The sequence below is a fragment of the Homo sapiens genome, chromosome 4 (genome assembly GCF_000001405.40).
Source record: "Homo sapiens chromosome 4, GRCh38.p14 Primary Assembly".
Classification (NCBI taxonomy): Eukaryota; Metazoa; Chordata; class Mammalia; order Primates; family Hominidae; genus Homo; species Homo sapiens.
The window spans coordinates 131,616,468-131,643,427 of record NC_000004.12 but is presented as its reverse complement, the minus strand read 5'-3'; the positions used below and the strand labels follow the sequence as shown (position 1 = coordinate 131,643,427).

Below are 26,960 nucleotides of genomic sequence, written 5' to 3'. Positions count from 1 at the left end.
GGTAAAGACTTTTTTTTTAGCTTGATGGATTCCCACTTGTTTATTTTTGTTGTGTTGTCTGTGCTTTTGTCAACAATCACATATATATCCATGAAATCATTGCCAAGGTCAATGTCATGAAGCATTTTCCTACATTTTCTTCTAGAAATTTTAGTCTCAGGTATTATATTTTTATGTCTAATCACTTTTCAGTTGATTTTTGTGTGTGGTGTAAGATAAGCATTCAATATCATTCTTTTGCATGTGAATATTTAGTTTTCCCAACACCACTTGTTGAAGAGACTGTCCTTCCCCTCATTGTGTATTTTGGCACCCATTTTGAAGATCAGTTGACTATATATGTTAGGATTCAGTTTTTTGAAATCTCTATTCTGTTTCATTGGTTGATATGTTTGTCTTCATGCCAGTACCAACTATTTTTTTTTTACTACTGTAGCTTTGAAATCAAGAAGTATAGGGCCTCCAGTTTTGTTCCTCTTCTCTCTAAGTCAGTTTGGCACTTTATAATCTTGTGTGGTTAGATATGAATTTTAGATTTTTTTTTTCTAGTTCTGTAAAAATGCTACTGGGAAATTGGTAGAGATTGCACTGAATGTGTAAATAGCTTTACATAGTGTAATTATTATAACAATAATAATTCTTCCATTACATGAACACAGGATATATTTAAATTCGTTTATTTCTTGTTCAATGCTTTTCATCAGTGTTTTATAATTTTCAGTGTACAAGTCATTCACATCTTTAGTTAAGTTTATTCTTAAGTATTTCATTCTTTTTGGTGCAAGAAAATGCCACATAGTTTTATTTTTGCAGGTTCATAGGTGTATATATTAATGGGGTACACAATAAACCCTGATACAGGCATGCAATGTGTAATAATTACAGCATGGAAAATAGGGTATCCATCCCCTCAAGCATTGATCCATTGTGTTCCAACAAATTATACTCTTTTGGCTATTTTAAAAGATACAATTAAATTATTATTGACTATGGTCACCCTGTTGTGCTAGCAAATAGTATGTCTTATTCATAGTATTTAACTATTTAACTATTTTTATTTTGTATTCATTAACCATCAACTCTTCCCTGCCCCCTACATTCACCTCAAAACTTCCCAACCTCTGATAACCATCTTTCTACTTTCTATCTCCCTGGGTTTAATTATTTTGATTTTTCACTGCCACAAATAAGTGAGGAGATGTAAAGTTTGTCTTTCTGTGTCTGACTTATTTCACTTAATATAATGACCTTCATTTCCATCTATGTTGTTGCAAACAACAGGATCTCATCATTTTTTATGGCTACATGGTACTCCATTGTGTATATATACAATATTTTGTTTATTTACTTATCTGTTGATGGACATTTGGGTTGCTTTCAAATCTTGGCTGTTGTGAACAGTGTTGCAACAAACATGAGAGTGCAGATATCTCTTCAATATACTTTGGGGGTGGATACCAAGCAGTGGGATTGCTGAATTATATACTAGCTCTATTTTTAGTTTTCCTTGAGGAAGCTCCAAACTGTTCTCCATGGAGGTTGTACTAATTTACATTCCTACCAACAATGTATAAGGATTCCTTTTTTCTCCACATTCTTGTCAGCATTTGTTATTGCCCGTCTTTTGGATATAAGCCATTTTAACTGAGTGAGATGATATCTCATTGTAGTTTTGATTTGCATTTCTCTGATGATCAATGATGCTGAGCACCTTTTTATATGCCTATTTGCCATTTGTATGTCTTCTTTTGAGAAATGTGTATTAAAATCTTTTGCAAATTTTTAAAATGGATTATTAGTTTTTGTTCCTGTAGGGTCATTTGAGCTCCTTTTATAATATGGTTATAAAGTCCATGTCAGATTGGTAGTTTGCAAATATTTTCTCCCATTCTGTGGGTCATTTCTTCACTTTTTGAATTGTTTTCTTTGCTGTGCAGAAGATTTTTAACTTGATGTGAACCATTTAACCATTTTTGCTTTGCCTGAGTGTGCTTGTAAGGTATTACTCAAGAAACTTTTTGCTCAAACCAGTGTTCCAGGGAGTTTCTCCAATATTTTCTTGTAGTAATTTCACAGCTTAAGGTTTCAAATTTAAGTCTTCAGTCTATTTTTATTTGACTTTTGTATATGTGACAGATAAGGGTCTAGTTTCATTCTTCTGTATATGGTCATCCAGTTTTCCTAGCACCATTTATTGTAGAGACTGTCATTTTCCAAGTGCATGTTCTTGGCAACTTTGTTTAAAATGAGTTCACTGCAGGTGTGTGGATTTGTTTCTGGGTTCTTTTTTCAATTCCATTGTTCAATGTGTTTATTTTATGTTAGTATCATGCTGTTTTGATTACTATACCTCTGTCGTATAATCAGAAGTCAGAGAAAGTGATTCCTCTAGTTTTGTTCTTTTTGCTCATGATAGTTTTGGCTCTTTTGGATTTTTTATGGTTCCATATAAATTTTAAGTTTTTTTTTTCTATTTCTGTCAAGAAAGTCATTGGTATTTTGATAGGGATTGCATTGCATCTGTAGATTGCTTTGGGTAGTATGGACATTTTAACATTATTGACTCTTCTAATTCATGAACATGAAATATCTTTCCATTTGTGTGTGTGTGCGTGTGTGTGTGTCCCCTTCAAATTCTTTCATCAGTGGTTAATAATTTTTATTGTAGAGATATTTTACTTCTTTGGTTAAGTCAATTCCTAGATGTTTAATTTTATGTGTGGCTATTGTAAATGGGATTTTTTAAAATTTCTTTTTTGGATTGTTCCCTGTTGGCATATAGAAATGCTACAAATTTTTGTATGTTGATTTTGTATGCTGCAACTGTATTGAATTAGTTTATCTGTTCTAACAGTTTGTGTGTGTGTGTGTGTGTGTGTGTGTGTGTGTGTGTGTGTGTGTTTTGGTGTCTTTAGGTTTTTCCAAATATAAGATCATTTCATCTGCAAAAACAAGAAAAGTTTGACTTTTTCCATTTAAATTTGGATGGGCTTTATTTCTTTCTCTTTTCCTATTGCATTAGCTCGGACTTCCAGTATTATGTTGAGTAACAGTGGTGAAAGTGGGCATCTGTCATGTTCCAAACCTTGGAGGAAAGGCTTTCAGTTTTTTTCCCATTCGGTATGACACTAGCTTTGGATCTGTTGTATACTGCTTTTATCATATTAAGGTATGTTCTTTCTACACCTAGCTTTTGGAAGGTTTTATCATAAGGAGATGTTGAATTTTATCAAATGGTTTTTCAGCATAATTTGAAATGTTCATATGGTTTACAACCTTCATTCTGTTGATATGATGTATCATATTGATTTATTTGCATATGTTGAATCATCCTTGTATTTCTGGGATAAATCTAATTGATTATGATGAATGATCTTTCAGTGTATTGTTGAATTCAGTTTGTATCTTGCTGAAGACTTTTGTATCAAGTTTATCAGAGAGATATTTGCCTGTAGTTTTCTTTTTTTGATGTGTCTTCGTCTGGTTTTGATGTGAGGGTAATACTGGACTTATAGAGTGAGCTTGGAAGTATTATGTCTTCCTCTATTTTTTGGAATACTTCCAGGAGGACTAGTATCAGATTTTATTTAAATATTTGGTAGAGTTCAGCAGTGAAGTCATCACATCCAAGACATTTTATTATGGCTTTGCTCTTGTTGCTTGTTATTGGTCTGAAGGTTTTGGATTTTTTTTCATGGCTCAGACTTGGTAGGTCATATGTGTCTGAGAATTTATCCATTTTCACTAAATTTTCTAATTTGTTGGCATACAGTTGCTCACAGTAGCCACTAATAAACCTTTGAATTTTTGTAGTATCAGGGGTAGTGTTTCCTTTTTCATTTCTGGTTTTATTTATTTGGGTCTTCTCTCTTCTTTTTCTTCATTAGTCTGGCTAAAGGATTGTCAATTTTGTTTATCTTTTCAAAAAAAGAAATTTTTTGTTTCCTTGATCTTTCATACTTTCTTGGTTTCAAGTTCATTTACTTCTGCTCTGATATTATTTATTTTCTTCTATTAATTTGGGTTGGCTTGCTCTTGCTTTTCTAGTTCTTTAAAATGCATTATTAGGTTATTTATTTGTAGAGTTTCTTTTTTCTCTTTTTTGATGTAGATATTTACAGCTATAAATTTGTCTCTTGGTACTGCTTTTGCTGTCTTCCATAGGTTTTGGTATGTTCTTTTTCCACTTACCATTTCTTTCCAGATATTTTTCGATTTCTTTCTTAATTTCTTATTGACCCACTGGTCATTGAGAAGCATACAGTTTAATTTCCGTGTGCTTGTATAGTTTTCAAAATTCCTCTTGTTATTGACTTTTAGTTTTATTCCATTGTGGCCAGGGAACATACTTGATATTATTTCAATTTTTTGAATGTTTTAATACTTATTTTGTGACCTAACACATGGTTTCTTCTTGAGGATGAGTCATGTGCTGTGGAGAAGAACGTTTATTTTGCAGCCCTTAGATAAAATGTTCTGTAAATGTCTATTAAGTCTACTTGATCTACAGTACAGATTAAGTCTAAAGTTTCTTTGTTGATTTTCTGTCTGGATTATCTGTCTAAAACTGAAAGTGGGATGTTAAAGACTTCAGCTATTGTTGTGTCAAGGTCTATCTCTCTCTTTAGCTCTAATAATATTTGTTTTATGTGGGTGCTCCAGTATTGGGTGCACATATATTTACAATTTTTATATTATCTTGCTGAATTGACCTCTTTATCATTATATAATGATATTTTTGGTTTTTTTTTTACAGTTTTTGTCTTGAAATCTATTTTGTCTGATGTAAGAATAGCTACCCTTGCTCTCTTTTGGTTTCCATTGGCATGGGATATATATTTCCATGTTTTCATTTTCAATTTATATGCATCTTTATAGGTGAAGTGTGTTTTTTGTAGGTAACAGATCACTGGGTCTTGCTTTTTTATCCATTCAGTCACTCTATGTCTTTTGATTAAAGAGATTAGTCCATTTACATTCAATGTTATTATTGATAAGTAAGAACTTACTCATTGTTACTTATTTTATGATTGCTTTATGGTGTTATCTTTCTTCTTTCCTTTCTCTTCTGTCTTCCTTTTAGTGAAGTTGATTTTCTCCATTATTTAATTTTTTGCTGTTTAATTTTTGTGTATTCATTATATGTTTTTCAATTTGATGTTATCATGAGGTTTGCAAATACTCTCTTATAACACATTATTTTAAATTAATGACAACACTGCATAAACAATCAAATAAACAAACAAGCAAAAAAACTAATAAAAACTGTACACCTTAACTTCACTTCCTTTTCTTAACTTTCTGTTGTTTTTCTTGTTGTATTATACTGTCTATGTCTTGAAGAGTTATTTTAGTTATTATTTTTGATTGGTTAATCATTTTGTCTTTCTACTCAATATAAGAGTAGTTTACACATCACATTTGCAGGTTAGAATATTCTGTGTTTTTTTGTGTGCTATTACCAGTGAGTTTTATATCTTCAGATGATCTATTATTACTCATTAACGTTCTTCTCATTTATATTGAAGAACTCCCTTTAGTATTTCTTGCAGAACAGCTTTTCTTTGTTTGGGAAGGTTTCTATTTTTCCTTCATGCTTGATTTACCCTTTTGAAGCTATTTTCTAGATCTTGTGGGCATGCGTCATTCTTTTTAATTCTTCTTCCTTTTGTCTCCTCTGCCTGTGTATTTTCAAATAGCCTGTCTTCAAGCTCATTAATTCTTTCTTCCACTCTATCAATTCTGCTATTAAGAGACCACGATGCATTCTTCTGCATATTAATTGCACTTTTCAACTCTGGAGTATCTGCTTGACTCTCTTTAATAATTGTAGTCTTTTTGTTAAGCTTATCTGATAGAATTATGAATTCATTCTCTCTGTTATCTTGAATCTTTTTGACTTTCTTCAACACAGCTATTTTGAATTTTCCATATGAAAGGTCACTTGTCCATTTCTCCAGAATTGGTCCCTCATGCCTCATTCAGTTTATTTGGTGAAGTCATGTTTCCCCGAATGTGTTGATGCCTGTAGATGTTCTTTGGTGTATGGGCATTGAAGAGTTGGGCATTTACTGCACTTTTCACAGTCTGGGCTTATTTGTGCCTGTCTTTCTTGGGTAGGTTTTCCAGGTGTTCAAAGGAACTTGGGCCCCAGATCCAATAACGCTGTAGTACTTGTAGACTTGTAGAGGTTCCACCTTGGAGGTGTTGGTAAATGTCTGGGAAAATTCTCCAAATTACCAGGCAGAGACTATTTTCTTTTAACTTACTCTTTCTCAAATGAAAAAAAGTTTCTCTATGTGAGCTACACAACCTGGAACTAGGGGTGAAGAAACACAAGCTTCTCTGTGACCACCAACACTGTGACAGTGCTAAGTCAGATGTGAAGGGAGCAGAGCACTGAGTCTTGCTGAAGGCCCGCTGTAACCACTACCTGGTTAACACATATATTCACTCAAGTCCCTAGGGCTCTACAATCAGCTGGCAGCAAAGCCAGCCAGGATTCTGTCCCTACCTTCAATGTGGCAATTCCTGGGGAAATCTGGCTGGGGCCAGAGATGCTCTCTTCGAGCCAGGAATTAGAGTAAAAAACCTTAGAAATTCATCTGATGTTCTGTTCTACTGTTGCTATGCTGGCACTCAAAACACGATAGAAAGTCCTTCTTCCTCTTCTCTCCCCTTTTCATAGGCAGAGGAGTCTCTCTCTGTAGCCACCAGCGTGACCAGCCCACAATGCGCTCTAATCAGGCCACCACTGATGTTAACTTAAATCTCAAGGGCTCTTCAGTCAGCCTCTAGTGAATGCTTCCAGGCCTGAGATTCACCTTTCAGGGCAGTGGGATACTCTCTGGCTCAGAGAATGTTCAGAAATGCCGATCAAGAGCCTAGACCTGAATTCAGGAACCCCAAGAACCTGCTTGGTGCTCTATCTCACTGACTGAGTTGGTACCTAAGGCACAAAACAAAATCCTGTTTATTCTTTTCCCTGCTTTTCTCAAACAGGAGTCTCACCATAGCCACCACAGCTGGGAGTATGCTGGGTCATCCTGAAGCCAGCACATCTCAAAGCCCAAGGCCCACATCTTATTACCTGGGTATCATTGCTGGTTATTTAGGGACCAAGGGATTTTTAGTCAGCAAGGGATGAATCCTGCCTGGAATGGTTTTTTCCTTCAAGACAGTGGGTTCTATTTTGGCCCAAGGTGTGTCTAGAAATGCCATCCATGAGCTAAGGCCTATAATGCAGACTTAACAACTCTGCCTAGTGTCCTATACTACTGTGGCTGTGCTGGTATCCAAGATGTAAGATGAAGTCCTCTTTAGTCTTTAGTTTCTTCTCCTCAAGCAGAAGGAAGCAGTCACTTTTGTTGCTGTCAGCTGTGCAGCCTGAGTTTGGAAAAGGGGTGTGGCACAAGCACTCCCTTAGCTGCCCTTTCTGGTCTCTCTCTAGGTCATGTGCCAGCCTAATCCATTGTCTCAAAGCCAAGCCCACCATTAGGAGTTTCTTAGGCATTTCAGTCCTTATATCTTAGACTGCCTTTCAAGCTTACCTAGGATCCTAGATCACATTGGCTCATGTTGGCAAGGCCTGCCAAGGAATTCAAGTTCTGACTGCTGGAATGGGCAATTCCCCTCCACCTGGGTCTAGTCTAGGAGCTCCTTCCATTTTCAGGTACTACTTAGCTTAGCACAGCTTTGCTCTCCATTATAACAGGCCAGCACTGAGTTCAACGTAAAGTCTCACAATTGCTGCACTCTCCCTCTTCCAATCACATAGATTTCTCTGTGCCCCATGGTCACTACTGGGTGATGAGGGGAAAGTGGCACAAGTCCTTCCTTAGCTGCCATAGCTGGTGTCTCAGTAGGTCATGTGCCCTCCAAGTTCACTGGCTCTGAGCCCAGCTCAGGACAAGGACTTGCCAAGGAATTGCAGTACTTGTGACCTGGACTGCTCTTCAAGTTCACTTAGGGTTGCAGAGCACTTTAGCCTATGGTGGTAGGCTTGTCATAACTCACACTTTGATTTATGACACTCAAAGTGTCATAACTCTGGGATGGGTAACTCCCTTCTGGCTAAGACTGATCCAGAAGCTCCCTCAAAGGGCAAGCATTATCTGGGTACTGTTTGCATTCTGCTGTGACAAGGAAGCACTGAGTTCAATGGGAAGTCCCCCAGTAATTGAGTTTCTCTTGTCCTAAGCACACAAATTCTCCACACCAAGGGTTGCTGTTGGGAGCTGGGAGGCTGGTGGTGTCAGCAATGCATGACTGTCTCTCTTACCCACTTTCACTGGCTCTTTTGGCAATATAAAGTTAAAACTAGATGCTATGAGTGCTCACCTGATTTTTGCATTTTCTGATGATGCTTTCAGTGCATAGTTTGCTAGTTAAATTTGGTTTTCCTGTCAAAGTGCTTTATGGCTCGCCTAATTTTTGGTTCCTGTAGCACTGCTTTTATGTCTAGTTAGTTGTTAAAACATGGTGTTCCTGTGGAAAAAATAAACAGTATAGGTTTCTATTTAACCATCTTGCTCTGCTCCTCCCACATATTTTTAATGGTTTAAGTGACATATTTTTCCTAAGCTACGTTTCCTAAGGAAATGCATATATCTACTATGGTCTGAATATTTATGTCCCCCCAAAATTTATATGTTGAAATCCTAACTCCCAAGGTGATGGTATTAGTAGATGAAGAATTCAGAGATAATTAGGTCATGATGCCACAGCCCCATTATATCAGCGCTAGCCTGATATCAAAGCCAGATAACTACACTACAAGAAAACTACAGACAAATATTCCTAATAACCATGAATGCAAAAATCCTCAACAAAATATTTAAAGCTGAATTCAGCAGCTTATTAAAAGAATTACTTATCACGACTGTCTTAGTCCATTTTCACACTGCTATAAAGAATTGCCTGAGACTAAGTAATTTATAAAAGAAAGAGATTTAATTGGCTTACTGTTCCCCATGGCTGGGAGGCCTCAGGAAACTTACAATCATGGTGGAAGGGGAAACAGGTGCTTCTTACATGGTGGCAGGAGAGAGAGGAAGCAAAGGGGAAACAGCCCCTTATAAAATAATCATATCTCATGAGAACTCACTCACTATCATGAGAAGAGCACTGGGGAAACTGCTCCCATGATCCAATCACCTACAACCAGATCCTTCCCCCAACACCTGGGGATAACAATTCAAGATGAGATTTGGGCAGGGACAAAGTCAAACCATATCATTCTGCCCCTGGTCCCACTCAAATCTCACTTCCTCACATTTCAAAACACAATCGTGCCTTTTGAACAGTCTCCCAAAATCTTCACTCATTCCAGCATTATCTCAAAAGTTCAAGTTCAAAGTGTCATCTGAGACAAACTTTCTTCTGCCTATGAGCCTGTAAAATCAAAAACAAGTTAGTTACATCCAAGATAGGCAAGGGGTACAGACATTGGGTAACTGCTTTTACTCCACTGAGAGAAACTGGCAAAAACAAAGAGGCAACAGACCCCATGCATGTTCGAAGACCAGCGAGGCTGTTGTTAAATCTTAAAGCCCTGGCCGGACATGGTCGTTCATGCCTGCAATCCCAGCACTTTGGGAGGCTGAGGTGGGTGGATCACCTGAGGTCAGGAGTTCAAGACCAGCCTGGACAACATGGTGAAACCCTCTCTCTACTAAAAATATAAAAACTAGCCAGGCATGGTGGTGGACGCCTGTAATCCCAGCTACTCAGGCGGCTGAGGCAGGAGAATTGCTTGAACCCAGGAGACAGAGGTTGCAGTAAGCCGACACAGTGCCACTGCACTCCAGCCTTAGTGACAGAGTGAGACTCTGTCTCAACAAACAAACAAACAAAAATCTTGAAGCCTCTAAATTATCTCCATTGACTCCATGTCTCAATCCAGAGCATGCTGATGCAAGCGCTGGGTTCCAGGCACACAGTGCAAGCTGTTGGTGGATCTACCATTCTGGGGTTTGGAGGATGGTGGCCCTCCTATCACAGCTTCACTAGGCAGTGCCCCAGTGGGGACTCTGCATGAGGGATCCAATCCCCCATTTCTCCCCTGCATTGTCCTGGTAGAGGTTCTCCAGGAGGGTTCCGCCTCTGCAGCAGACTTCTGCATAGACATTCAGATGTTTCCATATATTTACCAAAATCTAGGCTGAGGTTCCCAAAGCTCAACTCTTGTTTTCTGCACACCCACAGGCACAACACCACATGGAAGCTACCAAAGCTTAGGGCTTCCACCCTCTGAAGCAATGGCCAAGCTGCACCTTTGCCCCTTTTACCTCACCTGGAACACAAGCAGCTGTTATGCAGGGTAACAAGTCCAAGGCTGCACAGAACAGTGGGGCCCTGGGTCTGGCCCAAAAAACCACTTTTTCCTCCTAGGCCTCCAGGCCTGTGATGGGAGGGGCTGCCATAAAAGTCTCTGACATGCTCTGGATTTATTTTCTCCATTGTCTTGGTGATTAACATTCAGCTTCTTCTTACTTATGCAAATTTCTGCAGCCTGCTTGAATTCCTTCTCAGAAAAATGGGTTCTGCTTTTCAACCACATGGTTAGGCTGCAAATTTTTCAAAACTTTATGCTCTGCTTCCCTTTTAAATATAAATTTCTACTTAAAACTGTCTCTTTCTCAGTGCATATAACTGAACACTTTTAAGAGCACCCAGGTCACATTTTGAATGTTTTGCTGCTTAGAAATTTTTTTTTGCCAGAAATCCTAAATTGTCTCTCTCAAATTCAAAGTTGCACAGATCTTTAGGGCAGGGGTAAAATGTTGCCAGTCTTTTTACTAAAGTGTAGGAAGAATGACTTTTGCTCCAGTTCCCAATAAGTTCTTCATCTCCATCTCAAACCACCTCAGTCTGGACTTCATTATCTATGTCACTATCAGCATTTTGGTCAAAACAATTCAACAAGTCACTAGGAAGTTCCAAACTTTCTCACATCTTCCTATCTTCTTCTGAGCCCTCCACAGTGTTCCAACTTCTGCCTGTTACCCAGTTCTAAAGTTGCTTCCACATTTTCAGGTTATCTTTATAGTAGAACCCTACTAAAATGGTACCAATTTACTGTATTTATCTATTTTTACATTGCTATAAAGAGCCACCCAAAACTGGGTAGTTTATAAAGGAAAGAGGTTTAATTAACTCACAGTTCTTCATGACTAGGGAGGCCCCAGGAAACTTACAATCAGAGAAGTAGGCAAGTCTTACATGGTGACAGGAGAGAGATGAAGCAAAGGGAGAACAGGCCCTTCTGAAATCATCAGATCATGTGAGAACTCACTCACTACCATAAGAACAGCATGGGGGAAACTGGCCCCATGATTCAATCACCTCCAACCAGGTCCCTCCCTCAATACCCTGAGATTACAGTTTGAGATGTGATTCAGGTGGGAACACAAATTCAAAGCATATCAGTGACCATATGAAAATTCTTCTGGAATATTCCCACATGTAAAAATCAATGAGTGTAATGCACCAAATTAACAGGTTGAAGGAACAGTAAAACCTTGATCATCTCAATTGATGAAGAACATAATTATGTGTCAAAATTAAACAGTCTTTCATGATGAAAACATTCAAAAAACTAGAAATAGAAGGAAATTACCTCAATAGAATAATAATCATGTATAAAAACCCCATAGTGAACATTATGATCAGTAATGAAAAACCAAAAACTTTTTCTCTAACATCAGAAATAAGGCAAGGAGTGGTGGGCGCCTGTAGTCCCAGGTACTCAGGAGGCCGAGGCAGGAGAATGGCATGAACCTGGGAGGTGGAGCTTGCAGTGAGCCAAGATCGTGCCACTGGACTCCAGTGTGGGCGACAGAGTGAGACTCTGTCTCAAAAAAAAAAAAAAAAAAAAAGAAATAAGGCAAGGATACCGAATTTCACCATTTCTATCAAACATAGTACTAGAAGTTCTAGCCAGAGCACTTTGGCAAGAAGAAGAAAGTCATCCCATTTGGAAATAAAGTAGTAAAATTATCTCTGTTCACAGATGACATAATTTTATACATTGAAAACACTAGGTATTTTACAAAAATTGTTAGAGCTAATAAAAAACTTAGCAAAGTAGCAGGGCAAGTCATCACCAAAATTATTTGCAATTATATACATGCTAATAGTAAAAATTCAAAAAGAAATTTAAGAAAACGATTTCATTTATAATAACATGAAAAAGAATAACATATTTCGGATTTAATTTAATCAGGGAGGTGAAAGAATTGTACAATAAAAACTACAAAACACTGATGAAAGACATTAAAGAAAACATAAATAAATTATAATAAATCCCATGATCATGGAGTAGAAGACTTAATATTATTAAGATAATACTACTCGAAGTGTTCTACAGATTGAATGTAATCCTTATCAAAACTCCAATGATATTTTTTCTGGAAAAAGAAAACTTTATCTTAAAATTTATAAAATTATCAAGGAACCACTAGTACCCAAAACGATCTTAAAAAATAAGGCAAACATGTAGGACTCACATTTACTGATTTTGAAGCTTATTACAATGTTACAATGATAAAAACAGTGTGGTATTGGCTTAAAGACAGACATAGAGACCAATGGAACAGAATATCAATGCAAATGTATATATCATATGCATGTGATTAATAGAAATAATTAAAATTTTATATGTGTCAAAACCCAGTTTACTTGATTATAATATCATCAAAAAACATAAATATTAAACATTCTGAAAATATGATTGAGCAAATTTAAATATTTTAGCATTCAGAAGATTATTGTTAAATCATTGTTTTCAGTACTGAGGTAGATAATTTCATTACCCACTGACATTTTATGATGCTGTCACTTTTCTAATACTCATGATTTGGGAGCAGTAACTAAAACAAACTCTGTTAAACATAGATATTGCTTCACCATCAAAGCTGAGTCAATTAAGTACCCTAAACCCTGCCCACAGTAATGTGTCTATGGGCATATTATTAATACTAGGTACAGATTATAATCATCCTTAGTGGCCTTTTGTTTTGAATAAAAATTCCAAATAATTTACTTCCATTGGCCAACGTAAAGTAACCTTCTCACTAATGTTTGAATAGCGAAAAAAAAGGCAAGTCAAAGAGAGAAGAAAGACAGCCAAGAGAATAAACAACAAGCCTTCTGATGGCATTTAAGCTAAAAATAATCGTTTTTTCTTGTTTTTACTCAAGTAATTATAGTGCTTGGGAAAAATATTTTTTATAAGCAGAGAATAAAACGAAATTATTAAATAAATATTCTTGGCCTACAGACATAATATGTGAGGCATAAACCTGAAGTTTGGAAGTATTTTTAAAATAATTTTACTTTGCTTTTTTTTATTATACTGTTTTATCATGCACAAGTGTGCAAACCAAAGTTGTTTGTCTGGAAATACAAAAAACTGACTGCTAAAGATAATTATGAACTCCATTAAGTAGGTATTTTAAATTAAGTAAATAGCTTGCTATGTTAACTTTTCTAGACCAACACTGGTCTAGTCTCTTCATAGATGAGAACACTACACTGAATGTATATGTATTTTTATCTTTCTTTAAAAAACATTAATTACTGAACTAGTTCACATAGAAGAATCAAGAATGTAAGTTCTGTGACAGATTTTTGTGTGGCTTATAATATTCAAGGAAGTGTAGGATGAAGTTTGGCATGGTTGTAACTAAACTGGTTAGTTCAGTTCATTTTCACCAAAAAATTATTTTAATTACCTTTTATAATTTCAGATGTGAAAATTATTAAAACAAAATTACTGATAAACCACAAGGCATGAACTTGACTACATAAATTTACCAACATATTAAGGAAAATAAATCTATCCATATTATATATTCCTCTAAGTGTCTTGAGGCAGACATCTATTTTATTATTATGTGTCATAGTTGTATTTTGAATTCTTTTTCTCTGTCCACAACAGTATTCAATAAGTATTAAGATAATCAAGTTGAGATATAATTTGATACCTTAATTATTTGCAATTTGATTCTTTCCCCCTAACTCAGCATTCTGGGGATTGGTGCATGCATTTATAAAGTGTATGGTGCTATCTGTACATAGATTTTTGTGACAATGTTTATATTGTTTCTTCCTTGAGGAATTATGTTTATCTTATTCCATAGAATTTCCTAAAAGTAGCATACACATACATATACACATAGAAAAAGGAAGAGTTGGGGTGAGAGAGAAAGGCATAGAGATCTGTTTGAAAAAGGAAGGCATATGACATTTAAAAATCTGGCTACATTAGAATGTATGTGACAGTGAAGCAAGTTTTCTTTTAAGAAACCTATCACTTTGTCTTCTCTTAAAATATCAATTTGGCAGTTCCAACATATTTTAAATTAGAATTCACTTCCACATTTAAGTCTTTATTAATTTATGCTCTATGAACAGTACTGTCTTTATTGTCATGAAGGAAAATTCAGCATGCTGAAGTTACAGGGAAAGCCCCAAATTTCTCTTCTTTGATTTTAATTAAGTTTAAAATAGATGGCATATTTTAGAGGTGTAAGCCACAAGGTGTATTATCCAAAATCTTTGTCAATGTGTTCTATAAATTTTATTGATTTTTAATTGAATGAGTAATCTTCACTTAGAAGGTTCAGTTTTGGAATATACTGGTAGTAGCAAATGAAAATAGAGATACAAGGAGAATGCTTTCAGCTTTTGCCCATTCAGTATGATATTGGCTGTGGGTTCATCATAAAAGACTCTTATTATTTTGAGGTATATTCCTTCAATGCCTAGTTTATTGAGAGTTAGTTACATGAAGGGATGTTGAATTTTATAGAAAGTCTTTTCTGCATCTAGACGTAATCATGTGTTTTTTTTCTTTAGTTCTGTTTATGTGATTAATTTGAATAACGTTTATTTATCCGCATATGTTGAACCAGCCTTGCCTCCTGGAGATGAAGCCAACTTGACCATGGTGGAGAAGTTTTTCATGTGTTGTTGGATTTGGTTTGCAAGTATTTTATTGATGATTTTTGCATTGATGTTCATCATGGATATTGGCCTGAAGTTTCCTCTTTTTTTGTTGTATCTTTGCCAGATTTTGGTATCAGAATGATGCAGGCCTCATGAAATGAGTTAGGGATGAATCCCTCCTTTTCAAATGTTTGGAATAGTTTCAGAAGAAATGGTACCAGATACTCTTTGTACTTCTGGTAGAATTCAGCTGTAAATCCATCTGGTCCTGGGCTTTTTTTGGTAGGTAGGTATATTTGTCTGGATTCTCTTTAGGAACAGAACTAATAGGATAGATAGAATATATATAAAGAGGAGTTTATTAAGGAGTTTTAAACTCACACAATCACAAGGTCACAGAATAGGCCAGCTGCAAGCTGAGAAGCATGGAAGCCAGTGTGAGTCCTAAAGCTGAAGAATTTGAAGTCAGATGTTCAAGGGCAGGAAGCATCCAGCACAAGAGAAAGATGTAGGTTGGGAGGCTAAGACAGTCTAGTCTTTTCACATTCTTCTGCCTGCTTTTATCTTTGCTGCCCTGGCAGCTGATTAGATAATGCCTACCCAGATTAAAGATGGGTCTGCCTTTCTCAGTCCACTGACTCAAATTTTAATCTCCTTTGGCAACACCCTCACTGACACACCCAGGATCAATACTTTGCATCTTTCAATCCAATAAAGTTGACACTCAGTATTAACCATCACAGTAAGCTATTTATTACTGCTTCAATTTCAAAACTTGTTATTGGCCTATTCATAGATTCAACTGCTTCCTGGTTCAGTTTTTGGAGGAGGTATGTGTCCAGGAACTTATCCATTTCTTCTAGATTTTCCAGTTTATTTGCATAGAGGTGTTTATAGTATTCTCTGATGGTTATTTGTATTTCTGTGGAGTCAGTGGTAGTATCCCCTTATCATTTGTGATTGCAAATGTAAAACCCAAAACTATAAAAACCTTGGAAGAAAATCCAGGCTATACCATTTAGGACATAGACATGAGCAAAGATTCTATGACAAAATCGCCAAAAGCAATGACAACAAAAGCAAAAATTGACAAATGGGATCGAATTAAACTAAAGAGCTTCTGCACACACAAAAAAAACAAAAACAAAAACCTATCATCAGAGAGAACAGGCAGCCTACAGAATTGGAAACAATATTTACAATCTATCCAGCTGACAAAGGTCTAATATCTAGAATCTACAAGGAACTTAAGCAAATTTACAAGAAAAAAACAACCCCATTAAAAAGTGGGCAAAGGACATAAACAGATACTTCTCAAAAGAAGACCTTCATGCAGCCAACAAACATATAAAGGAAAGCTCAACATCATTGATCATTAGAGAAATGCAAATCAAAACCACAATGAGATAGCATCTCACACTAGTCAGAATGGCGATTATTAAAAAGTCAAAAAACAACAGATGCTGGAGAGATTGCGGAGAATTAGGAACACTTACACTGTTGGTGGGAATGTAAATTATTTCAACCATTGTGGAAGACAGTGTGGTAATTCCTCAAAGATTTAGAGCTGGAAATATCATTTGAACCAGCAATCCCATTACTGTGTATATACTCAAAGGAATATTAATTATTCCATTATAAAGATACATGAACATGTATGTTCATTGTAGCACTATTCACAATAGCAAAGACATGGAATTAACCTACATGCCCGTCAGTGATAAACTGGATAAAGAAAATGTGATGCAAATACACCATGGAATACTATGCAGCCATAACAAGAAATGAGATCATGTTCTTTGCAGGGACACGGATGAAGCTGGAAGCTATTATCTTCAGTAAACTAACGCAGGAACAGAAAACCAAACACTGCATGTTCTCACTTATAAGTGGGAGGTGAACAATGAGAACACATGGACACAGAGAGGGAACAACGCACACTGGGGCCTGTCAGGGGAAGGCAGGGGTGGGAGAGCATTACAAAAAATAGTTAATGCATGCTGGGCTTAATACCTAGGTGATGGGTTGTAGGTGCAGCAAACCACCATGTCACATGTTTATGTAACAAACTTGTGCATCCTGAACATGTACCCCAGAACTTATAAAATAAAACAAAATAAAAAATAGAAATACAGCAAAACTGCCAACACAGGCTTTTTTTTTTTTAACTTTTTAAGCCGTGTGATCTGCATTTCTATAAGTACGTTTATTTCATCATAAGTATTAATTGTGTTGTAATTAAAATCTCAATTATAATTTTATTGAGAAATATCTGACAGAAACTTGACAAAATTGTGCATGTGAATAAAATGTAAAAATTTTATAGACAACAGATGTTGAATAGATGAATTTAAAATAATATATGAATTCTTATTTTAATATGATTACATATCATCAGTCGTTCCTGAGTAAAAGAATTTTCATACTATCATTTTACTATTTTAAACAAAGATGACTTTTTGTTCATTTGTTGCTAATATTTAAAAATTATTTTAGCACCATGTCTGTAACTTTATCTCCCTTGAACAAATATCTCTATATATTTTTCCTTAAAAAAGCTTTTTTGAGAAAGCTACAAAGTTATTTTAGTGTGGGGAAGGGAGTACATAGAGTTCATCTTATTCTATTTGCTGCTAATAATTTTTTTGTGGTTAAATATGCTTAACATAAAATTTACCATTTTAAACATGTTTAAGTGTATAGTTATCAATTTTTCATTGTTGGAAACCACCCAGATTTTGCTACTTTCTTACAGCCACAGTAGAAAACTAATATATGTTCCTTACTTCAGAAGATAAGTTTAAAATATCAAGAGAGTCTTCTGGCTGTATCTTTTTTAACCGTCATCTCTTAATTTTGGACTTTTTATAAACTTTGGACAAAAACATATTTAGTAGTGTAAGATAAGACTATATAAGTTTAGGAAAGGGAGAAAATTTAAACATCTTTAGAATGATGTTTCCTCAACTGATTAAAGTTTAACTTATTCACATTATCTCAATTCCTGAGGTTATCTTGCAGAAAAAGAGACACTGAAAATGACTAACTTTATTGCAATAGAACATTTTTTAGGACAGCTGCTTTCTAGAGAGGATTTTTTTCACAGATAAAACTCCAAACAATCCTACAATAGAGACATATTCTTCTAATTAAATGTATTTTTTCTGTCAATCTCACTTATACTAAAATTATTATAGAGAAATATTAAAATATATTATAGCCACTTATTAATTTAAATTGGCACCTTGCACTGGGTGTTATCATATTAGCATGTCAATAAAAGTTGGTAAGAATGCATTATGTATGTGTGAAAACATAGTGGTTAATCTCTATGAACATTCTTCTCCTCTATGTTGAAAATTAATAGGAACTTAGGATTCAACTAACAAGGATTTGTAGTAAGGAATTAAAAATGTGCCTTTGTAAAAATGATATTATTTCAAATAACATCAATGTTTGAAATTAGTCATTGTTAAGATTGTTTAAACTGGTGAAGAGAATGAATATCTCTTCCATTTAAAAATATGAGAAATATTAGCAAAGGACGTATTACATATTTGATAAATAATATCAATTCAACTCAGAATGTCAGAAAGAAGATTGAATATAGTGGCCTATCACTCAGGAAAATAGATTTGCAATCACGAACATTTTTGAGTGGCATTATTTTGCAGATGGTTTCTAAATCCATGAGAGTGGTGGAGGTCATGGAGAAGAAGTCTTTTATGACTGCCTCTACCTCTCAAGCCTGAAGCTTACCTGATTTGTGTTGAGAATTTAAAACAAAATGAACAAACAAAATAAAGTATAAGAGTAAATATTTACATGGAACTAGAAATTGCAATAATATTTTTAAGTATGGGAAAGACCTTTATTATGTTGTGGTACATTCCTTTTATACCTAATTTGTTGAGCATCTTTATTATAAAAGGTTGTTAAATCATGTTAAATGCTTTTCCTATATCTACTGAAATGACCATTCTACTTATGTGATTAATGTGATATATCACATTTATTGATTTGCATATGTTGAATCATTCTTGCATGCGAGGGATAAAGGACATCCAAATTAGAAATGAGGGAGTTAAACTGTCTCTTTTGCAGATGACATGATCTTATATATAAAAACTCCTATAAGTTTTTATATATAAGATATATATATCTTATATATACTCATTATATATAAGACTAATAAACTAATAAACAAATTCATTAAAATTGCAAGAGATGAAATCAGCATACAATTTTCTCAAAAACCTAAAAATAGAACTATCACATAATCCAGCAATTCCACTACTTAGTATTTATCAAAGGAAAGTAGATCAGTATAACAAAACATGGGCCTTACAGTTCCATGTTTATTGCAGCACTATTCACAATAGCACATATATGGAATCAGTCTAAATGCCCATCAGTAGATAAGTGGACAAGAAAAATGTGGTATATATACACAAGGGAATAGTATTCAGCTATAAACAAGAAGAAAATGTTGTCATTTGCAGTGATATAGATGAAACTGAAAGATATTATGTTAAGGGAAATAAGCCTGGCCCAGAGAGACAAATGTCACATATTCTCACTAACACATAGGAACTAACAATTGGATCTCACGTAGTTGGAGAGTAAAAAGATAGTTATCAGAGGCCTGGAAGGGTGTGTATTGGGCAGAAGGAAAGAAAAAAGAGGCAAATGGGTAAAAATATACCATTAGATAGAAGAAATAATTTCTATTTTTCAGTAGTACATTGGGATGACTATAGTTAACAACAATATGCTGTATATTTCAAAATATCTAGGAGAGAGAATTTGAAATGTTTCCAACACAAAGAAATAATAAATACTTGAGGTGATTTTATCCTAATATCCTGACTTGATCATTACTCCTTCTACACATGTATCAAAATATTACATGTGCCGTGAGTATGTAAAAATATTATGTATCAAAAAAGATTATTTTGTGACACATAAAAATTACATAAAATTGAAACTTAGTGTCTATAAAGTATTACTAGAATTCAAAAAGCCTCAAACAACAACAAAAGCCAAATAGTTTTATGAAAAATTAGGCAACAAATCAGAAGAGACATTTCAGACTACAGATCTATCTTAACTCTAGATCTATAGTTAAAAATATAGTATTGTGTACTTTAGCGTATGTTGTGGAGCCATCTCATGTTAAGTATTCCTGGTACAACAAACAAACAAAACACAAAAGAACATAAGAAAATATTTGAAGGTGATGGATATATTTTGTACCTTGATAGTGATGGGAGAATAATGGGTGTATGCATATGACCAAGCTCACCAAAATGTATACGTTAAATATGGGCAATTTGGGTATATCAGTTATACCTCAATAAAGTTTAAAAAGTTAATAAAATATGACAAATATCTATCTTGCAAAATCCTGAGGAACAATGTATTTATTCATTTATATAGCCTAACACCAAACCTCCATAATCCCATTATCATACATTTTTTGGTCTTATTCTTGGATCACCTCAATTAAGAATGATTTCGGTGTTATATTCAAAAGAAAAAAATAGCATATGTGTGTTTTTTCCCACATAAATGATTGATGTTTGATTTATTGATAATTGTGAAGTGTTTCTTTTTTGTTTTATAACTTATTAGTAATGCTTTGTAAATATTTTGATTGGGTTGAATTTGAGAAAATCAAGTTCACAATGGAATATAACACTTGTCCTTATCTTTTTGTGTCACAGAATTAGTAAATCAGCATAGAAAGTGGTAGAAATATTTCTGGAAGCCACTCCTATGTCTGCTCAACAAACACTAACTGAATTATATACAGAAGTGACTGAGAACTACATAAAAACCCACTTAAACTCAAATTTAATATATGTCTAATGTATCTTCCCCTAGTTGGGTCCCTAAAATACCCACAGGTATTCCATCTTCTTCAGACGCAAAGTGGAAAGTGAATAAGGCATAGCTTTAAAGGAAAATGTATGTGGTTCTTATTGTTTTATAATAAATACCTTCAATACATTTTACTAAAGCCAAGAGACATGGTCACATATTGCAATGGCTCCTCCCAGTGCTTTTAAAGGAGTTAAATGAAGGTCCCTGAAGTTTAGATTTCATTCATTTCTCTTTTAATCCACCTCTGCATAGACTAGAGGGTAGATAAAATGAAGTCTTAGGATAAAGACATGAAGGATACTACTATTTATAGGTCAGTTAAGGGAGGAACCAGGAAACATCCACTGTAGGGTAATGAAAATTAGGGAATAAATTTAAGAAACACATTGTGGTTGCTTTTGAAAATACCACTGAATGGTCAAATAAGACTATCAATGAATGGTAAGCATTGGACTTTCAATGAAAGTCTTAGGTGTAATAGGCAGATATGAGAAAGAAAATGAGAAGTGAGTTATTGGAATAGGTTAGGAACTGATTATTTAATGAATATATCTATGAAAAGAAATAAAGCAATAAGTCATTACTTACACAGGAACCATAACTAGGGGCAGTGGCTCCGGTAGAGCATGGCTTGTGCCCAGGAGGTCAAGGCTACAGTGAGCGATGATCTTTTGCAACTGTACTCCAGCATCGGTGACAGAGTGAGACCCTGTCACTAGAGATAAAATACAGTAAGATAACTATTAGGCAGATCATAATCTGTCACCTGTATTTATGTAGTAATTTTATCACTGCTTGCAGTCTCTAAGATTACTCCCATCGGAAACCAAATTTGACTCTGCATATTTTAGCTCTGTACTCTTTCTAAGGAACTGAGCTATTCATGTTACTCCTTTGCTTCATAATATGATACTTATGGTGTCATAATTCTCCATATACAAGCTAAAATTTTTGTGCTCTAGCTAGACGGAATTATACTCCTTAGCATGCTATGTTCTCTTGTCTGAGGATCTTTGCTGCTTCTTTTATATCACCAACCCCTTCAAAGTTTTACCAATTTTTTTTAGGTATGGGCTTCCCAGTATGCCCTCCAGGAAAAAATTCCTCTTATTTATGCCTCTATTCCGTGGCCTTCGTATTCACTCTCTTTACTTCTCTCCCTTATTAAATGTTTAGATATGATACATCTCTTTTACTTATCTGTTTTTCCCACTTGATTGTATGTTTGGTAATGGAGAAAAATCTCAATACCCATAGCATACTTAAATGTTTGTCTACCATAATATTCTGTGAGAAATGTTAAACTAATGTGGTGTTTTTTTCTGTCTTAAATATATGGTGTTATACATGTACAGTGATTTGATTAGTTAAACTAATATAATGAGCTATTACAAAAAAGTCTCTAAAGTTTTGAGGTCAGCACATAGAATTAATCTAGCAATAAAAACAATATGTGCATATCTGAGTATTTCCTTATATTTTTTTTCTGAGACAGAGTCTCACTCTGCTACCCTGGCTGGAGTGTACTGGTGCAGTCACAGATTACTGCAGCCTCAATGTCTCAGGCTCAGGTGATTTTCTCACCTCAGACTCTTGAGTAGCTGAGACTACAGGCATTCGCTTCTACATCTAGCTAATTTTTGTGGGTTTCTTTTTTTCTTTCTTTTGTAGAGATGGGGTTTCACCATGTTGCCCAGGGTGATCTTGAACTCCTGGGCTCAAGCAATCCACCCACCTCAACCTCCCAGAGTGCTGAGAGTATAGCCATGAGCCACCATGCCCAGCCTGAACTAGTTATAACTTTTCTATAAGTCAATAGTCTATGAAGAGTTAATTAACTTTGGTCAGGTACTTCTACTTCTAGCACTGAACCTAAACAGTCAAAGTTTACTGAGTTTTATTTACAAAGATGTTTCATCTAGTCTTTTCTCCTGAAACTAAAACAAATTTTAAAATCTAAGACACCAAAAAATGAAGATTTTTAAATAAAAGGGTATATATATTCAAAGTGCAAGTATTTAAATGAAAAGTTGTCTTTATTTGAATAGTTTTGTACCACACTGAAGCAATTTTGAAAAATAAATACTGTTGGTGAAACAATTTTCCCTAGATTTCTTAATATTTCTGCATGGTCCAGGCTTTATGAGCAAAAAGTATTGACAAGTGCTACTAAAAATAGAGAAGTGCGTTTCCTCTTTCCTCTCTCCTTCAAAACTGATGCAGAGAAGGTGAGCCCCAGAATGGGGCATAGCCCGGAAGGGTTCTTGACTTTGTCTAGGAAAAAATTTAAGAGAAAACTGGTGGTGAAAGAAATCAACTTTATTGAAGTGATAGTGTATGCAGAGGTACTGCTTCTTGTTGAGCAGGGTTAACCCATAGGCTGTGTGGCCACACGAGTAGCATATGGGCTGCTGAGCAGCTATATTTACACTCATTTTTAATTACATGCAAATAATAACTTTCTATAAAGTGCTGGTGAGTTTTCAAAAACATATAAAGTAACTTTTGGGTCATTCACATGGAGTACTGCCATGACATTTCCAAACTGTAATGGTGGCAGTAGGAGTGTCTTTATGTTAATGACCAGGGAGGGCAACTAGAGAATTCTTTCCTTGCCATCTACTGGTTTTGCCCGGCTTCTTCAATGGACCATATATTGACCAGATCCTGCTCCAAGCAGTGGGGAGGCAACACGGGTCATGACTGGTGCTTGGAAAACAAGTCTGGCCAATGATCTCCTACCTCAAAACCATTTAGTGAAATTTTAAGCTTGTAGAAGCTTTCTTTACTCAGATGAAAGGAGAAGCAAATATGTCATTCACCCTAGATAAACTCCAGTCTCATAATTTTGTGGTTCTTGTGCAGATGAAAATCTGGCCTCATCACATAATTCTGTGGAGAATTGGGATATGGGGAAGCAACATAAGATGCTAGTCTAGCCTCTGTTTTGAATAATAAAAGGTCTATTTTCTGATACAGAGTTGTTGCTGTTTATAGATATACTGTGCTAGGTAAGCATGGTGAAATCTCAGATCCATTGCATTTTCTGATTTATGAATTACTATATGTACTACTCTATAATCATAGCCCATTTATCTATATAGATAGGCTATGATTCTCTCTCTCTCTCTCTCTCTACATATATATATGGAGAATAATGCATGTACAAAATAAAAAATCAGAGCAGTGATAATAATTAGGAGATAATGGACTTATAGAAACTTACATTTTTATATTTTTGAGAGTGTTCTACATTTCCTTTGACAAACGTAAGTTACATTGATATTCAGAATTTAAGAAAAGCATTTATACTGTTTAATGAAGCATTATGTTGTAAAAAAATAAGTATCAAAAGTGCCAGGTCTAAAACCATTGCTTTGGTAAATAGCTTCAAAAGTAATTATCATCAATATTAGACGCATGAATTGTTTTTATTACCAATTATTACAGCACATTGTAATCACCTGGGAAGCACACCAAAAAGTAAAATAATAATATCCTGGTGTAAGACCCAAATATCGTAGACATTAAAAAATATTTTCCAGCTAATATATACACTCATGATTAAGAACAATAGACCTAGAAATATGATTTTGCTATTCATTACACATGGAGATCACTACACATCACAACTTAGTTGCAGGTCTCTAGGATGTAACACAAAACTTGAATCAGAAAATTATTAATATAATATTCTCAGCCTCAAAATAAAGGTGATTTATTTCCAGTAATCATACCATAAAGAGTTTGGGTAATTACCCTTTGTAGAAACAAATATACAACTAGAAAATGATCAGAAACAATTACTTTAGGACAATGGAAAATAATCAACGAAAGCAATAACTTGAGAAGTGTCTAGGAATAAAAACTGTTCCTTTTGCTTATAACAACAATAATTTTGCTACAATGTATTGTTGAAAATCTCTAGTTTTCAAACAAATATTGGTAGGCCAAAAAAAACCCAAAGTTTTATTTATGCTTAGAGATGAAAAGACTGTAAAGTAAGCTGACTTCAAGCAGGTCTAGATATTTGGTTTTCACAGATAAAGACTACAGAGCAACTACTGTAAATATGTTAAAGGAAAACGGATTAATAGTGACTAAAGAAAAAGAAAAAATCAATACAAAAAAGATGCAAACTATAAAAAATAAATGGCAATTTTGTATCTAAAAAGTAATTTTGCATAAATTAAAAGCTTACCAAAATGGTTCAGTAGTAGATTTGAAAGGGCGGACACAAAAAAAAAATCAATAAACTTCAAAAGAGTTTAATCATTTCATTTCAAATAACACAGAAAAAAACTAATCATAACAACAGAGCCTCAGACATCTGCTGGAAAATAACAAACATTTCAAAGAAATGCATCATGAGAGTCCTAGAAGTAGAATAAAAAGGACTGCAAATATATTTGAAGAAATGATGACAAAAACTTCACAAATTAGTTGAAAAATATTAACTTACTGATTGAAGGAGCTCAATAAACATTAATAGGTTAATCATTTAGAAAACCACATTTACATATATCCTTATATAAATTCTGAAAGCTGAAAATAAAAGGAAACCTTGAAGCAACAAGGGTAAATGTTTATGTTTGTGGAAAATAGAATTAGTGGCTAATTTATTGTCTAAAACAACAAAAGTCAGAAGTATTAAAATGTATGTATTTGAATTGCTGAGAGGTGTGAAGAGGTCATCTTTCAATCAAGAATTCTGTATCCAGTGAAAATATTCTTCACATAAGAAGATAATATATTTCCATATTTAAAAAAATAAGAAAATGTTTGTAGTTGAACTTTATTACAGGAAATGCCAAAAGAACTTCTTTACACTGAATTAAAATAACACTACATCATCACTCAGATGCACAGGAAGAAAACAAGTGCACCAGAAACGATAATTATTGGTTAAATGCAAAATAAAAATATATGTGATCATTAAAGGTAAAATTGTAACACTAAATTTCATGGTTTATAACTTATATAGATATACTCTGTGATAAACATAAACACATGAATGGAGGATAGAAATATATATGTGCAAAATTATTACATATTATAAAATTAAGTCACTATTAATATAGATTGTTATGAGTTAAAGACATACATATGGCATTCCTTTAAAGAGCCACTATATACATACATAAAATTTAATACATGACCTTACAGGATAGGAAAATGATTTGTTTTAATAAATGAAGGTGTCAAGGGAGGAACAAAAAATCAAAAAGGTGAATGAATAATCAAATAGCAAAATAGCAGACTAAACTCAACTATATCAATAATTATATTGAAATTGAATGGACTAAACACTTCCATAAAAGGCAGAGACTGTCAGCGTAGATAAAAATGCAAGAACTGAAAATATTCTTTCTATAAAAAATAGACTTTAAATTTAAAAACACAAATATAATGGATGCATGAATTTGGAAAAATATGTGACATAAACAGTAAGAAAAATTAATGTAATGGCTGTAATAATAATAAACTAATTAGACTAAGATACATAGTTCTGTTTTAGATAAAAATATATTTTATAGTAATGAAAAGATGAATATATTAGGTAGGTAGGTATAACAATTAGAAATAATTATGCATGAGTAAAAACAATTTCAAAATAAAAATGCAAAAATTAACAATTTATAGACTAGACAAATTATCATATATATTTGGATATTTTAATACTTACTTCTCAGTAATTGAAACAATTAGAAAGAATATCAACAAGGATAAATAAGGCCAGAGCAACACTATATAGAAAAGTAATCTAATTAATATCAATAGAGAATTCCACTGAATGAATATAGGATTCACATTCCTTTCAACCACTCACTAACCATGTTTTGGTCCATAAAACAAAACTCAATAAATTTTTAAAAATTGAGATAATTTACATCATTTTATCCTACTTAATGTATTTAAATTAGAAATTCTATGTCCAGAATAGGGAGAAGAAAAAAAATCTATATCTAGAATAGAGAGGAGAAAAATATGAGGATGATAAAGAACAGATTTCTAAATACTCAATGTGTCAAATAAGAAATCCAAAGGGAAATTTAAAGAAATACATATATATATGTGTGTGTGTGTGTGTGTGTCTGTATATAATGTTTACTTGCTAAGAT

At 34.3% G+C, this 26,960-nt stretch overlaps 1 long non-coding RNA gene across 4 annotated transcripts in view; it reads right to left on the bottom strand.

The window, feature by feature from the left end:
* Nucleotides 1-26,960, bottom strand: part of LINC02377 (long intergenic non-protein coding RNA 2377) — a 338,568-nt gene that overhangs the window by 74,897 nt on the left and 236,711 nt on the right. For 3 of the 4 annotated variants that reach the window (NR_183918.1, NR_183919.1, NR_183917.1), the window contains one exon: nt 21,427-21,553. The exons of the other annotated variant lie outside the window; for it this stretch is intronic. This is a non-coding gene — a long non-coding RNA (long intergenic non-protein coding RNA 2377). The remainder of the gene's footprint in view (nt 1-21,426; nt 21,554-26,960) is intronic. 4 annotated transcript variants of the gene reach the window in all.